Source organism: Homo sapiens, chromosome 14 (assembly GCF_000001405.40).
Source record: "Homo sapiens chromosome 14, GRCh38.p14 Primary Assembly".
Lineage (NCBI taxonomy): Eukaryota > Metazoa > Chordata > Mammalia > Primates > Hominidae > Homo > Homo sapiens.
Window position 1 is genome coordinate 93276560 of NC_000014.9, and position 13152 is coordinate 93289711.

Consider the following 13152-nt stretch of genomic DNA (forward strand, 5'->3'; position numbering starts at 1 on the left):
TAGTACTCTGTAAAAAATTAATCACTGACTACAAAACCAAGTGAATACTGGAAATGAGAAGGCTATCTACCTGGAGAACATTAATCCCTTCTAATGGGAAAGAGGCAATCACTGAGATTGATGCTGCATGTGTGTGAAAAGGTACACAATGTTTATATTCTTTATTCTTACAGCTTCTGACAAGTTGTGTGAGAGACAAAAGCAAACAAAGCTGGAAAAGCAGCTGAAAACTTCTAGGGAATAACTTTAGTAACTTAGTAGAGGAAGCTAAAGCATACACACAATTCATGAACGATTTCTCTTCAAGCCACGACACACACACACACAGATTAATTTTTTTTTTTTTTTTTTTTTTTTTTTGAGATGGAATCTCACTCTGTCACCCAGCCTGGAGTGCAGTGGCATGATCTCAGCTCACTGCAACCTCTGCCTCCCGGGTTCAAGCAATTCTCTGATCTCAGCTTCCTGAGTAGCTCGGATTACAGGCACGCACCACCACACCCAGAAAATTTTTGTATTTTTAGTAGAGACAGGGTTTCACCATGTTGGCCAGGCTGGTCCTGAAATCCCGACCTCAGGTGATCCGCCCACCTTGGCCTCCCAAAGTGCTGGGATTACAGGTGTGAGCCACTGTGCCCGGCTCAGGTTAATAATTCTTAAGGTACTCAATTGACTAGATTGATATTTCTTTAATGTTTACTTCATAAATTAGTGTTATCTAATACGGCATTTAAAATGTTTACATTTAAGCATGGGGGGTAATGAGAATAGCATAATGAAGGGAAAGCATTCATGGGGATGTCAGTTCTCTGCACAAAGACACCACATATAGCCCTCTACTGTAATGCAGGGGGAGCTAACTCTGGGACCTACAGGATGCCTGAAATCTCTGAAATAGAGCACATTCTTATATGCAGGCATCTTGCTGGAAGAGACAGAAAGGATATACCACTAGAGTGGGACTGACCAGAAACCCAATTCCAATTCTCTTTAGCTGTGTGATGTGTGAAATCTTTGCCTGTTTCCTTATCTGAAAAATGTGGATAATACCGTCTACCCTAGGGGGTTACTTTCAGGATTAAATAATATACATACAGCTCTTAGTCCATTGCTTACCTTATGGTAAATGTTAAATGAATGACAGCTATTTCTATAATCAAAGTTCCCTGATAAGCGTACGCACTGTACTGATGTATTCTACTACCAAAGCAAGCACAGGATTTGCGGGATGTGCAAGGGGGAAGGGAGGGAGCGTAGTCTGAAGAGAGCAGGGCAAGTCAAACACCTATAATGAGAACAGAAACAGTGACAACCCAAATGTATAATTTCCTGTCACAGGTTTATCAAAATGTTAAATAAAAACTATCCTCCTACTCAGCAGGTGAAAAATTCAGCGGTTCACACCTCTTTATCTGAAAACAAAAGCTAGTCATTTACACCTGTATTTTGTTTACTATCCTTAGACCATTACCCCACTAGTGATGAATAGTAAATTATTATAATGGAATTAAGAATATCATTGAAGGGAAAAACCAAAGCTTTTGGGGTACAGCCATGTAATTATGTTTTTCAGCCAGGCGTGGTGGCTCACGCCTCTAATCCCAGCACTTTGGGAAGCCGAGGTGGGTGGATCACTTGAGGTCAGGAGTTCGAGACCAGCCTGGCCAACATGGTGAAATCCCACCTCTATTAAAAACACAAAAAATTAGCCAGGCGTGGTGGCAGACGCCTCTAATTCCAGCTACTTGGGAAGCTGAGGTAGGAGAATCGCTTGAGCCCAGGAGGCGGAGGTTGCAGTGAGCTGAGATTGCACCACTGCACTCCAGTCTGGGCAACAAGGCTGAAACTCCATATATAAAAAAAAAGTTTTTCAGAAAACCTTCTGATATCTTCTGGTTGGTTACATATGATCATGTGCTCCCTTCAAAACAGTGCACCTCACAGATGATTTCTCCTCAGAGATCATATTCCCTCTTCCCCCTACCTGTGGAAGAGTAGCTGTGGAATCACAAGGACCAGGATTCAAATCTTGGCCTTAACACTTTCTAGCTGTAACATGGTAATGCAATGGTATTTGTTCATCTAAACACATCTAAACATTAAAAAAGTAGAGTGGAAGTACGTATTTTATAACCTTATAGGACCACCATTGTACATGTGGTCTGCTGTTGACTGAAACATCATTATGTGGTACATGACTATTTATCCATATAGAAGCCTATCTTTCAAGTTTCTGTCCCTTTTAATAGTCTTGGCCACGCATAGTGGCTCAGGCATGTAATCCCAGCACTTAGGTGAATTTTTGGTACCCCATTTGGCTGTAAATGGAGGAAAAACCTACCACAGAGGACAACGTGAGTAAAGTGCTTGACACAGTGCCTGAAAAAGAACAGGTGCCCCACAAATTCTCCTGAACAAATGAATACACAGAGCATAAAACTTTTAAAAAGAATTAGTAATTTTGATATAAAATTTACAGATTTCATCTACTTACAGCAGAATGTATGTACTTTTAAGACCCTCACTATTTCTAGAACATTTCTTACGGTCTTCACATGCTACATCCAAAGAGAGCTTTTAGAAAATACAAATGTAATCAGGCCACAAGATTTATGATAGTGAGGATAAAGCCAATTGTCTCAGTTTAGTATACTGAATTCTTTATCTTATAGCCGTGTTTGCCTCTGTTGCCTCATTTCTTGCCATACCTCTCTTTGCAACCCCAGCATCTCCAGCCAAAAAGGCCTAGCTGTCATTTATCTCTAGGCCAGTTCCTGCTGCCTGATATGCTCGCTTTTACCTCCAATCTTTGCTTAACTCCTACTCCAGGTCTCATTGTCTGGGAAGTTTCTGATATGTCCTCCTGCCCTCCCCTTCCATATTGGGGTCTGGGGCTTCTCGTCCTCCTAGGTACTCCCCCAGCACCCAGTGTTCTATTAGGGCACTCACACTCTAACTGCCTATTGGTACTTAACACTGGACTATCCTTTTCTTCTTTTTTTCGTTGAGACAGAGTCTCGCTCTGTTGCCCAGGCTGGAGTGCAGTGGCGTGATCCCAGCTCACTGCAACCTCCGACTCCCGGGTTCAAGCGATTCTCCTGCCTCAGCCTCCCGAGCAGCTGGGATTACAGGTGCCCATGACCACGTCCAGCTAATTTTTGTATTTTTAGTAGAGACAAGGTTTCACCATGTTGGCCAGACTGATGGACTATCATTTTCATTACTTTAATCTCAGGTTCTGGCACACAGTAAGAGCTCAATAAGTGTTTGTTAAATGAGTATAGGAATCATGGTGCTAATTCTATACCAAGGGGCTTATTTGAGTTGATAGGCTATATCTTTTTTAGCTCCAATAATGTCCCATTGTTACCTTTATTTGCTTGAAAACTAGGACAGCAGCTGTTCTCTCAGGTTTATAGACCTAATGTGATGATCAGATCTATAATACTGTATCCATCTACTTTTATTTAATCTACTGCCTCTAAAAATTTGACATCAAAATGTAGTTTAGAAGTGGTGTTCACACCACAGAAAACTTTAGCTTCTTACTATTTTACTGTTCATACTTATAAACAAAAAACTATCAATCTAGGGTTTAAGATGAGGCACAAAAATAACAACTAATCATGCAGTTTAGCTTAGAAAAACTTCTGACTGCTCATAATTAGATACAAGCTCAGATGTCAAAAGATTTAGAAAAACAAGGTAATGCCCATGTACTTTCCAGAGAAAATTTACTGAATCGGTTTCAAAATTCAGCACTGTTCTTTAATGTAAACAATGTAAACGTCAATTAGAAAGGAACACTGACAACGAAAACCTAATATAAAAACCAAACAAACCACTTCAGAAAAGGCTATTATGGTTGAAGATGAATATCGCTAGAAACAAAGACATTTAAGTGTGCAAATATATTTTCAGTTTTTTGGCACTACTTTCAGATGTATGTATATTTCACCCTTAAATTTCATGACATGTATAACATTTATCAGAAGTTTTATAAACATAAACATGCCAATACCTAAGTATGAGATACATAAAAATGTTTTAGTGCAAAGAATCGTAACAGAGCTCAAAGTCTTTTAATATATCAAGTAATCCCCTTGTGGAGACATATTTAGTAAGGCCAGCCCATGTTAATTTACAATAGAGACCAAATATATGAAAAAATGGTTGAAGCCAGGCAATTTCTGGACAGTTTATATTCACCGAGTGTTTTAGCAGTCCCATCATATATATACTCTGAACTAAGATTCGGTCCTTTGAAGGTATTATTTATAAAAAGGCACCTTTTTTTTTTTTTTTGAAACAGATCTTACTCTGTCATCCAGGCTGAATCACAACTCACTGTAGCCTTGACCTCGGTGGACTCAAGCAATCCTCCCATCTCAGCCTTCTGAGTGGCTGGGACTATAGGCACCCACCACCACGCCCAGCTAATTTTTGTTTTGTTCTGTTTTTGAGACAGGGTCTTACTCTGTCAGCCAGGCTGGAGTGCAGTGGCACAACCTTGGCTCACTGCAATCTGCGCTTCTTGGGCTCTTGATCCTCCCACTTCAGCCTCCCAAAGAGCTGGGACCACAGGTGTGCACCACTATGCCTGGCTCTTTTTTTTTTTTTTTTGTAGAGATGGAGTTTCACCATGTTATCCATGCTGATCTCAAACTCCTGGACTCAAGCGATCTGCCTGCCTTGGCCTCCCAAAATGCTAGGATTACAGGCATGAGCCGCTGTGCCCTAATTTTTGTATTTTTTTTTGTAGAGGCAGAGTTTCACCGTGTTGCCTAGGCAGGTCTCAAACTCCTGGACTCAAGCCATCCACCCGCCTCAGCCTCCCAAACTGCTGGGATTACAGGCATGAGCCGCCTCACCTAGCCCAAAAGGTACTTTTTGTTGACAGTAGTTATCACAGAGGAGTGAGACTTTATAGTTCTTAAACACTTTTAGTATTATCTGTGTTATCTGACCACCCAACCTATTACTTGTATTTTTAGACAGTAACTTAAAAAACATCAGTTATTCAAAAGTAAACTCTATATATACTGACATAAACATTTTCCCAAGGTTTATTAAGTATGAAAAAAAGTTATATAGTGTGATGTTATTTATAACAGAATAAGATAGCACGTTAAATACACACACAGATATGCACATATAAAGATTTGTAAGGAAAACCATCAAACTGGCCACAGTATATCACTAATAAGGATTTGGGAAAAGCATTGGTAGTAGACAAAAATACACTTTCTGATATGTTTCTGTATCATTTCTTTTCTCCCCCAGCAATGAGCATGAATTGTTTTTGAAATGAATTAATTCAGAGGTAAAGTTTTACCAGAGAGTTATTATAGGAGATGGTTTATTTATGAATATTATCAATCGTATTATCTAAAGTCTGCTGAAGTGCAAAGTATACATGAAGCTTGATCACTGAGTGTAGAGTAGGTGCTCAATACATTCTTGTTTTGAAGTTCATCTTTTGATCTGTTGAAATAGCCTTGGAGAGGTAGCAACTTAGGATTTGTTACCTCATTTCTATTACAGGAAGCATGACAGCAGTTACCACATAGGTTACTATAAAGATTAAGTGAGGTATTCCATAAAAAGATCTTAGTGCAGTGTTTTCACAGTAACAGCTAAGTAATATCATTATCAATCTATCTTAATTCTTGGAATAGTTTCTTTTCCACTTCTACAACTAAAAGTAAACAGAATTCTTACATCTTGTGATAGTCTTCCTCTGGATGTTTTAGGAGATAAGAGCAATGCTTTTTTCTTTTTTTTTTTTTTTGAGACAGTTTCGCTCTGTTGCCCAGGCTGGAGTGCAGTGGTGCGATTTCTCAGCTCACTACAACTTCTGCCTCCTGGGTTCAAGCGATTCTCCTGCCTCAGACTCCTGAGTAGCTGGGATTACAGGCATCCGCCACCACACCTGGCTAATTTTTGTATTTTTAGTAGAGATGGGGTTTCACAATGTTGGGCAGGCTGGTCTTGAACTCCTGACTGCGTGATCTGCCTGCCTTGGCCTCCCAAAGGGTTGGAATTACAGGCACGAGCCACCGCACCCGGCCTATGCTTGGTTTTAAGACAGAAACTTCAACTGTATCTCAACTCTGAGTTTGAAAAGCCAGGATATTTGTACAATGCAGAGGTTCTTCCTTCCTTCTGTCATTTTCCCTCTTTAGTCAGTAATGCCTCCTCCCCAGTCCTATCTTCCTTATACCAAATCACCTGTATCTTAGACTCCATTCATTTTGTATTCCTTGGTGATGGGAGGCATCACACCTGGCCTCAATTGATGTTAATTATTCTATTTTACTTTGAAAGTCATATATAAATGGTGGTATGTGCAAGGTGCAATGAAGAACACATATCTCAGTAATTCAAGACAAATGTGATGTCATAAGTTTACAAAGTCTGCTATTTTGCCTTCTCCCTCCATCTTTCGAATTTTATTATCAGAGAAAAGGTTTTGCTTGCTGAGAAAGCTTCTAACTAAACTTTGTATAATTTTTGCTGTTGCTGTTGTTTGTTTTGAGACATGGTCTGGCTCTGTCGCCCAGGTTGGAGTGCAGTGGCATGATCTCAGCTCACTGAAACCTCTGCCTCCTGGGCTCAAGCTATGCTCCCACCTCAGCCTCCTGAGGAGCTGAGACTACAAGTGTGTGCCACCCACTCGGCTAATTTCTTTCTATTCTTTTTAGAGACGTGGTTTTGCCATGTTGCCAGGCTTGTCTTGAACTTCTGAGCTCAAGCTATCCATCCGCCATGGCCTCCCAAAGTGTTGGGATTACAAGTGTGAGCCACCATCCCCAGCCAAATTCTGCATTATTTTAAATAAAAAGAAATTTAGACATTTAATGGATTCTACTACAAATTAACAGTGCATATTTTAGAGATATCACTTCTTGTTATAGCTACAAACTACCTGATACATATTTACATTTTAAAAGCCATATAACAAGCTATAACATTTATTTATATACAATGTTTTGTTTTGGTTTGGTTTTGAGACAGTCTCTCACTCTATCACCCAGGCTGGAGTGCAGTAGCAGGATCTCAGCTCACTGTAATCTCCGCCTCCCTGGTTCAAGCAATTTTCATGCCTCAGCCACCAGAGTAGCTGGGATTACAGGTGTGCGCCACCATGCCCGGCTGATTTTTGTATTTTTAGTAGAGATGGGGTTTCACTATGTTGGTCAGGCTGGTCTCGAACTCCTGGCCTTAAGTAATCTGCCTGCTTCGGCCTCTGAAAGTGCTGGGATTACAGGCATGAGCCATTGCACCAGGCCAATACAATGTCTTTTAAGTATATAAATAAGGGTGAATAAACATTCCACTTTCAATAGACAAAGAAATACTGGCAACTCCTTAAAATTTTCTTTTCCCTTAATAAATCAAACAGGACAAGTAAGAAATAAAAAGATACTTAACTTAGATTAAGAATTTCCAAGTTACTTTAACATTCTGAGTTATATAATTTACCATAAATTTAATTCTCATTACTATACCTTTTTATTATTAAATTTGAGATATATAATTAGTTCTTTGATCTAAATTATAAATTAGTGCAGAATGAAAGACTGCCTCTGGATTAAACTTTTTTTGGCCTTAAAAGATGAACAGCATTAAACTGGCTTTTGAGAATTTTCTAAATTCAATTGATATTCTATTTTAAATCAATGAACTGACAAGTAAACAGTGAGTTGATGAGACAGGTTTTCTGACATTAAACTGTGAATTAAATGGTAGAGAGTTATACCATTTAGACCCCATGTAAACTTACTTTTATAAATAATACTTCATATTTTGTTCCTATTCTGGGGTTAAGTGCTTTCATTTTGTTTGCAACTCCTTAGGGATAAAATTTATTACAACCTCTACTATCCCACTCCCCACTTTTTTTTTTTTTAAAGAAAAGGTTACTCAGCTTTCAAAGGTATTAAAAATAATTCAAAACATGTAACTGACAGTATACTAAGAATAAAGCAGTGTGCTAGGTTCTCAGGTTATTCAAAGATGACCAAGATTTTGATACACAACTTTGGGAGCATACAATACACTAGGTGACAGAGGAAATGAGACGGGTACCTAGGTAATTTCAAAACAAGTCAGAAGATATAAAACCCTAAGAACAATAAAAAGTGTTTTAGAAATTCTCAGGATGTAGAAAATACTTTTAACTTGGAATGGCTAAGCAAAACAAGGAAAGTAAGCATGTGAGTTCGGTCTTAAAGGTTAGGGTAGAATTTGGACATTTAATGATCAAAGGCAAAATACCCCCCAGACAAATGAAAAGTGAGAGCAGAGGGTCAGAGGTGAAGAGTTTGTAGTCTATGAAAAATGACTTAAGTTTTAAAACAAAAGATGCAATATTATATATATAAACTTTTTATGTTTTATATATAAACATATATATAAATATGAAACTGAGATTAACTCTTATGTTGCATGTTTGAAACCTGCATTTACTACTCTGATCTGTTGATAATGGTCTTTAGCTTGGCCCCATTCTTCTCTAGGAAGTACATTCAAATTTGCTGAAGAGGAGACAATTATAGACAGAAGTAAAATAAACTGTCAACTCAACAGAACTGAGACAGAGGGAAGAGTGTCAATATGTAGACAGTGGAGGTTGGGAAGAGGGTGAAATGGATGAGTGAGTGGGGACAGTAAGTCTTTGCTATTTTGCATTTGTTTCAAGCCACACACTCTTGGAAAGTGACCAAGTTGCTAAGGGAAAAAACGAGGTCATTGCTTTCAGTTGCTTCTGTTAGATTTTTAATTCAATAAAATATAATCACATCCATTACGACTAAAAATATGGGCAAATGCATTACAGAGTCCATTTTGGAACTAAAGTTATAAATAAATTTCATATTGTAAAGATTGAAAAATGCATTTGTGATCAAGATGAAAAAACAAAATCTGCAGTTTGAAGTCTACAGTAAATATGCATGTAGATGTTGGTGCTAATTCTGGGGTATTTTGCTCTGAGGTCAACAGTATTTATGACAAGGATGGTTAAAGTTCATGAGTTAACCTATAGTTCTCCTAAACAATGAACTTTTCCTCAAAAAATTACCAATGAATGGTATACTCTTACTGTTCTCACATTTTCAGAGCTGTTTACCCAGTATATATGCTAAGGTCATTATGAAAAGTCAAAGTGATCAAACATGTGCTCCTTCTTTGGAGACTCTTCCAATCTAGTCATCTCTTTTGGAGTTTTAAATACTAGTCTTTTAAATATAGGTACTGCTACCAATCAGGCTTCTTATGGTGCAATAGCAGAAAACAAGTCTAGTTGGCTTAAAGAGAAAAGGAATTTATCTCAAAGGACACTATTAATCTACAGTGTTGCTGGGAAAAGCTGGAGACCCAGCTCAGTAAACATGGACTAAGGAAGGCTGCAGGATGGGGACTCCACAACATGGAAGCCCAGTGAAGACCCTGAGTTGCCTGGGACCCTGGCCACTAAAGCTCCTACATTCTGTCCCTGGATAGTGAATGTCATCAATGGCACCACTGCCATGGCCTTCTCTCCTTTTCCACTAGATGTTGCTGCCCCACTCTGCTTCCAGAAAAAATTCTCTATAGTCCCTGCTTTTCTGTACCACTAACCCTGACTAGAGAAGGCTGCAGAAGAAAGTATATGACCTTTAAGGCTTTTCTACTGGGAGGTGGGCTCTGCCTCCTATGAAGACATACACAGTAAGGCTGGGAAGAAGGTCCTAATGCTGGGCAGCCAGAAAAGTCAAATGACTAACATAGGAATGCTACCTATTCAGGAAACAATGGCTGAAACAGTACAAAGCCCCTGTTCTCTGGCTAAGTGCTCTGAAGCAAAGTTTGAGTGAGCTACTCAGATCCCTGACCCTACAGCTTTAAACCTCCTAGCTGAGCCCACATTACCCTCAACCCAAGTCGGGGGTAATGATTTGTTGTTCAGCCACAAATCGGGCTCACAGCTGAGGCTCCTACAAGTTGATGTTTCAATCACTATAGTTTTCTGTTTTGTTCCTAAGAGTAGGCCACAGCCTCCCACCCTCATCCCTGGAAATTGGGTCCAGTATTTCTCCCTTCTCCTACCATGCCCAAATTCCTGAGCCTAGAGTCAGAAGAGCTGGTATGAGTTACAGCTTCGTGACTTCCAAACCTGGGAAAAGGCTAGTTAATAATCTCTGAGCCTCACCACATTCATCGGCTGACAGGATGACCAATGGAGATAAGTAACAGCCCTCTGTACATTCAAATTATAAGCATGAGCTCATTAGTTAACAGACTTCAAAGATATGATAAAGTCTCCAGTTCTTTAGGATTGTGGCCTTCTCTTGGTCTCTCTGGTTCTTATGGGCACTGATGTCATATCTTTACATTTAAAAAGTTAATTCTGGGCCAGGCATGGTGGCTCATGCCTGTAATACCAGCACTGAGGCGGGTGGATCACCTGAGGTCAGGAGTTTGAGACCAGCCTGGCCAACAGAGCAGATCCCCGTCTCTACTAAAAACACAAAAAATTAGCCGGGCATGGTGGCAGGCACCTGTAATCCCAGCTACTTGTGAGGCTGAGGCAGGAGAATCGCTTGAACCTGGGAGGCAGAGGTTGCAATGAGCCAAGATTGGGCCATTGCACTCTAGCCTGGGCGACAGAGCGAGACTCTGTCTCAAAAAAAAAAAAAGTTAACCTTGTAATCAAAGTAGTATATGCTCATCATTTAAAAAGTCTGGTAGTAACACAATGCTAACCCTAAACCCCCCCGCCCCCCCACCCCGTCCTACATCCCTTCCACTTTCAGTTCTGCTCCCCAGAGGTAACTACTCTCAATTCTTTAGCTCTTTCTTCTAGTATTTACCTCTCTATATTACTATTTTTATTAAATCAATATTTAGTGTTTATAATTAAATAGTGCTTACTGCTGAGCCATGCTGTGTACTAAAATTATTTATTCTTTCATATGTACTGTTAAATTTATCTTGGAAATATTCATTTCTTCTTTTTCCATTTGCTTCATTTTCTAAGAACTTATTGCTAATTCTTCATAAATGCACCACAAGAGCCATAAAATTGCTTTGTCATTTGCTATTTAATGTTCAAACATTGAAAGTAATTGATTTCTTCCGAGACACCTCTTTCCTTGGAGACTTTCACCCTCCCGGTCTGGGCTAGACTGAATGCCCACAAGACCTACTGTGTGGCTGATGCGTGGGATCTCCCTTTGCTTCCTTCCCGTGTTGGAGCCCATTTTCTAGATCCTTCACTTCTTTGTTCTTGGTTTGCTTCGTCATTTGGTGGAATACATTCCCAGCAGCTGCCTGAGTGGGGAAGCAGGGGAAATATCCCTACACAGGCAGTTTTTCGAGGTATGACTGAAAAATGCCTTTATTTAGCCTTACACTTGATTGACTGTTTGGCTAAATATAGGATTTTGTGTTTAAAATAATTTTCCATCAGCTTTTGGAAGACACTACTTCACTGTATTGTGGTATTCAGTTGTTGCTACTGAAAATCTCAATACCATCTGATTCCTATTTCTTTGCATGGAACCTAATTTTTCTCCTCCCTGCAACATTTTAAAATTGTCTCTTTTTCCCCAGTGTTCTGAAAAAGAAACTTTTTATATAGAAATTCCTTTAGTTTTGGAAATATTTCTTATATTACTCCTTAGATACTGTCTTCTCTTCACTTTTCTCTGGTATATATTTCTAAAGCCACTATTTGTTAGATGTTAGACCCTGGATGAATACTCTAGTTTTATTTGTCTCCACTCATCTCTTTATTATATTATTTACTTTCTAGATTTCCTCAACTGTACCTTTCAATGCTTCCATTATATCTTTCATTTCTGCTATCTTATTTCTAAAAGCTCCTGTTTTTACTTTAATAGCATCCTGCTTATGTCTCACTGATTCCATAAAAAGTTCTTTTATATAAGGATATTTTGATTCTACTGAAGTTTTCTTCTGCTCCCTTCATTGTCTGCTTCCTCCAGGACTTTGTTCTTTTTGCTCTGATCTCTGTCTCAATTTGGAAGCTTTCCTCAAATGTCCAGTTATCCTTGGATGGGTTTTCATATTTAAGATTGAGGCAGTAAGCAGCTGTTTGAAAGCTCTGCTGCACAGGCAGGCCTGATGACTGTAGTCTCCTCTGTAAAACAAATGGAAGGCAAGCTGGCTTTTTCATTTTATAACCCCTGAGTGTAATTTCACTGTGGAAACCCAAAACATCAGTATCTGTAAGTGTATATACTTTTGAGCTGTTCACCATTTCCAGGACTCCAGTTTCTTCTTGTATTTGCCTGGCTGGTATTACAGCAGGGGTTAAGGAAGTAGGTGATTTCACCATAGGGTTTCACATAATTATAGATTTCAACCCTGTGCCACATCCCTACCCTCCTCTGTTGCTATTTCCAGATTTGGAATCTCTCTAATTTCTTTAGAAAATTCAGAAAATTTTAGAAAATCTCAGGTCTCCTGTGTTTTGTTGTGGGGGCAGTAGCAGAGAGGCGAATTGAGGGGGCGGGGACAAGGGCATGTCACCTTGTTGCAAGTGATAGTAATGCAAGAACAGACAAATGGACCACTGGGACAAAATGGAGACTGAGTACTGATGCATGAATACAATCCATGCATACATAGCAGCTTTAAGAGTGGCACAAATCAGGAATAGGGAATTAGTAGGGAATACTTGGCTCACTATATGCAGAAGAACAAAACCACATCCTTTTCTAATACCATACATAAAGATGAATTCCAGGGTTGGGGAAAGGGTCTGATCCCTCAGTATTCAGACTTAAAATCAACTCTGTCTTTTTAGTTCTATGCTATGCATATCCCTTCTTTCCAGAGTACTTAGTTCCACCTGGCCTGAGCCACGCCAGAGCTCTAACAGGTGAACTGCCTCACTTCTCCTCAGTAGCCCCCTTTACAGCATCTAATTACAGGCTGCTCCTCTGTTAAGCCAGTAATCAAGTCTCTATCTGCTTTCCATTTTCCAAAAATTTCAACATCTTCCCCATTGTTGTTTTCTCCTTAGGTATCTTTGTCTCTTTGTCCTTGAGAGCTTATATTTGTTTTATTCCTTCACTATGATAATAGGGCTTTGAAGGAAATAAAATTAAACATATTCATTTTGTTATGTTTAAATGAAAA

The 13152-nt window shown here is 39.3% G+C and overlaps 1 protein-coding gene across 8 annotated transcripts in view; it reads right to left on the reverse strand.

Annotated features, from left to right (window-relative positions):
* BTBD7 (BTB domain containing 7) overlaps nucleotides 1–13152 on the reverse strand; it is a 95487-nt gene that overhangs the window by 39010 nt on the left and 43325 nt on the right. For 2 of the 8 annotated variants that reach the window (NM_018167.5, XM_047431567.1), the window contains exon 4: nucleotides 11069–12148. The exons of the other annotated variants lie outside the window; for them this stretch is intronic. In NM_018167.5, coding sequence (NP_060637.1) covers nucleotides 12078–12148 — 71 coding nt within the window. In that variant the 3' untranslated portion in view covers nucleotides 11069–12077. Of the gene's footprint in view, nucleotides 1–11068; nucleotides 12149–13152 lie in introns of those variants that run through there. 8 annotated transcript variants of the gene reach the window in all.